General features: G+C 37.6%; 1 pseudogene across 1 annotated transcript; it reads right to left on the bottom strand.

Moving 5' to 3' along the window:
• Positions 1–321: 321 nt before the first annotated feature.
• Positions 322–1,879, bottom strand: RPL31P11 (ribosomal protein L31 pseudogene 11; annotated as a pseudogene). Its single transcript, NR_002595.1, is given in 1 exon segment — positions 322–1,879. The product of NR_002595.1 is annotated as a ribosomal protein L31 pseudogene 11 (transcript).
• Positions 1,880–2,726: the final 847 nt, after the last annotated feature.

Genomic DNA, 2,726 nt, shown 5'->3' on the forward strand with positions numbered 1-2,726 from the left:
CTACTATAGAATACAAGGACTATTCTTATTATACCGTGCTTACTTACTTCCCACTTTTCCTACCATGTGCTCCAACATAGCTTTATCACAATTTATGATTACTCCTTGTTGCTGAGACAAATAGTGTTGTCTGCTTATATTTCCCTTCTTGAACAATCTTTTTTTCCTCTAGATATAATAAATGCCTCATTTTCATATATTTTTTAGTTGTCTATGTGTTTATTAGCTTTTCCAAAGATTTAAAAAAAGTTCTAAAGCAGCTTAATACTATTTTCCATAGTAGTCAAATGCACCATGTAGCTTTTCAGTTTTTCTTCCTTCTTTTTTTTTTTTCCATTAGCAAGATGTCCCTCCTTTTTTGACACTGTTTTCGGTCATTTGATCTCTGGACCTCTTGCACAGCTGTTGTCCTAGGACTTCTCTATCTTTTATATGAAATCCTGTTTCCTGAATCTTATGTCTTCCTATTTCTTGGTTTCTTCCTTGTGTGGCTGCAGCATGTTTGCCAGGGCATCCTGAGAAAGGGTTTGCAGGTGATATAGTGGAGGCCATAATGCCTCACCTCATACTCACTCAACTCACCTGAATTCACCTGCAGCTGCTGGCTGGGTCAATTTCTCCTGAGAATTAAACTATGACAGGGAAAAATTAGTCACCTGCAAATAGTCACCCTGGGTAGGAGAGAGGCCCTAAGAGTCTAACTTCTCCTTATACAGAGTTTACAATTATCCTCTCATTTTTAGAATCATTCTTTAACCATATATTTTGTTGTACATGATTCCTCCAAATTCCTGGACTTTTTCTAAGATCTTCCAGGAAAATTAGCTTGCTTTTCATTAGCATTCCTTTCTTTAGGGAAATAAACTCAATTCCCTATTACCCAATTTTCTATAACAACATGACCAAGATTTGTGGTTATCCCAATGTTACTTCTTAGATATTAGACAAAAATAATGTTAAATGGTTAAATAAAAGAGACATCTTTATATCTCTGTTTATCTTAATTAGGCTTGTCAGAAGTCTTTTTTATTGGTCTTTTCACAGAATTAGTTTTTGATTGTTTGATCACATCTTCCTTCTGTTTGCAATCTTGTACATTGTAATCTCTTCTATTTTGTAACATTCTTAGTCTTGAATAATACAAAAAAAAGTATATATTTTCCCTACCACACTAGTCTCTCTGTTTACTGTACTCCTGTGCCCACTGGAATGAAATGTTCCTTAATTTTTCTATTTTTGCTGAAAACCACAATTTCAACAGATAATTTAAATTATACAAATTGTTATCTCAACAAGATTACTTAAGACTTGTCAAACACATTGTAGCATACATTTCTGTAACTGTTGTTAGCCAAATAATTAAACTCTTCAATCTGCGATTTCTACATATCCAACGAGAACCTATGTCTTTTTTTTTTTGAAGGCAATTTTATAACTTTATTTGATGTATTTGACGATCAGCGATTAGTTCTCATCCACATTGACTGTAGATTTTCAAAAGTGGCAACAGGTACATAGGTAACCAAAGTATAGAGCTTATTTGGTGAATCTTCATCCTCATTACGTTTTCGGGACAGCCGCACACGGATTCGGTATGGGACATTCTTATTCCTTTGGCCCAGACAGCTTTGTTGAGCCTGATATCAATGCGCGCATCTGGAGTTCCCATCTCCTTCATGCCAAATTTCCGAAGCTCTTTGAGTGCCCGAGGGGCACACTTCTTGAAGCCCACTCCATGGATGTGCTTGTGAATGTTGATGGTGTATTCTCGGGTCACCACCTCGTTGATGGCAGAACGGCCCTTTTATTCTTGCCACCCTTCTTTGCGGGAGCCATTCTGCCGGGTCCAAGTTGGAAAGGAAGAGCGCGAGGGATTGAGGGAGAAGGAAAGCCGAGAATCTATGTCATTTAATAGATCATGCTTTGGGTGTCAAGTCTAAGAATTCTTTGGCTAGTCCTACGTCCCAAAGAATATGTTCTCCAGTTTTGTTTTGTTTTTTTAAGTTTTATAGTTTTACTTTCCACATTTAAACCCAGGATCACCCAGGCACAGTGGCTCACACCTGTAATCCCAGCACTTTGGGAGGCCAAGGCAGGAGGATTGCTTAAATCCAGGAGTTTGAGACCAGCCTGGGCAGCATAGTGAGGCTTGGCCTCTAAAAAAAAAAAAGTTACCTGTGAAGTCTCAGCTACTTGGAAGGCTGAGGTCGGAGGGTCGGAGGGTTGCTTGAGTACAGGAGGTCAAGGCTACAGTGAGCTATGATTGCACCACTGCACTCCAGCGTGGGCAACAGAGTGAGACCTTATCTCAAAAATGTACATGAATTAGTAAGTACATAAACCCAGGATCCACTTTGAGTTTATTTTTTATGAGCTATGGTACTTAAGTTAAAGTTTATTTTTTTTTCCTATGGATGACCAATTGCTCCAACAATCATTTGTTGAAAAGGCCATCTTTCCTCATTGAATTGGTTTTGCACCTTTGTCAATAATCAGTTGGGTGTATTTGGGTGGGCCTATTTCCTGTTCTCTATTCTGTCCCATTATTCTGTGTCTATCACTCTGCCAATACCACACAATCTTGATTATTGTAGCTACATTGTAAGTTTTAAAATTGGTTAGACTGATTCCTCCCAATATTCTTCTTTTTTCAAGATTTTTAAGCTATTCTAGTTCCTTTGTCTTTCCATATACATTTAAAAATAATATTGCCTGCATCTATAAAA

Source organism: Homo sapiens, chromosome 1 (assembly GCF_000001405.40).
Source record: "Homo sapiens chromosome 1, GRCh38.p14 Primary Assembly".
In the NCBI taxonomy this organism is placed as follows: Eukaryota; Metazoa; Chordata; class Mammalia; order Primates; family Hominidae; genus Homo; species Homo sapiens.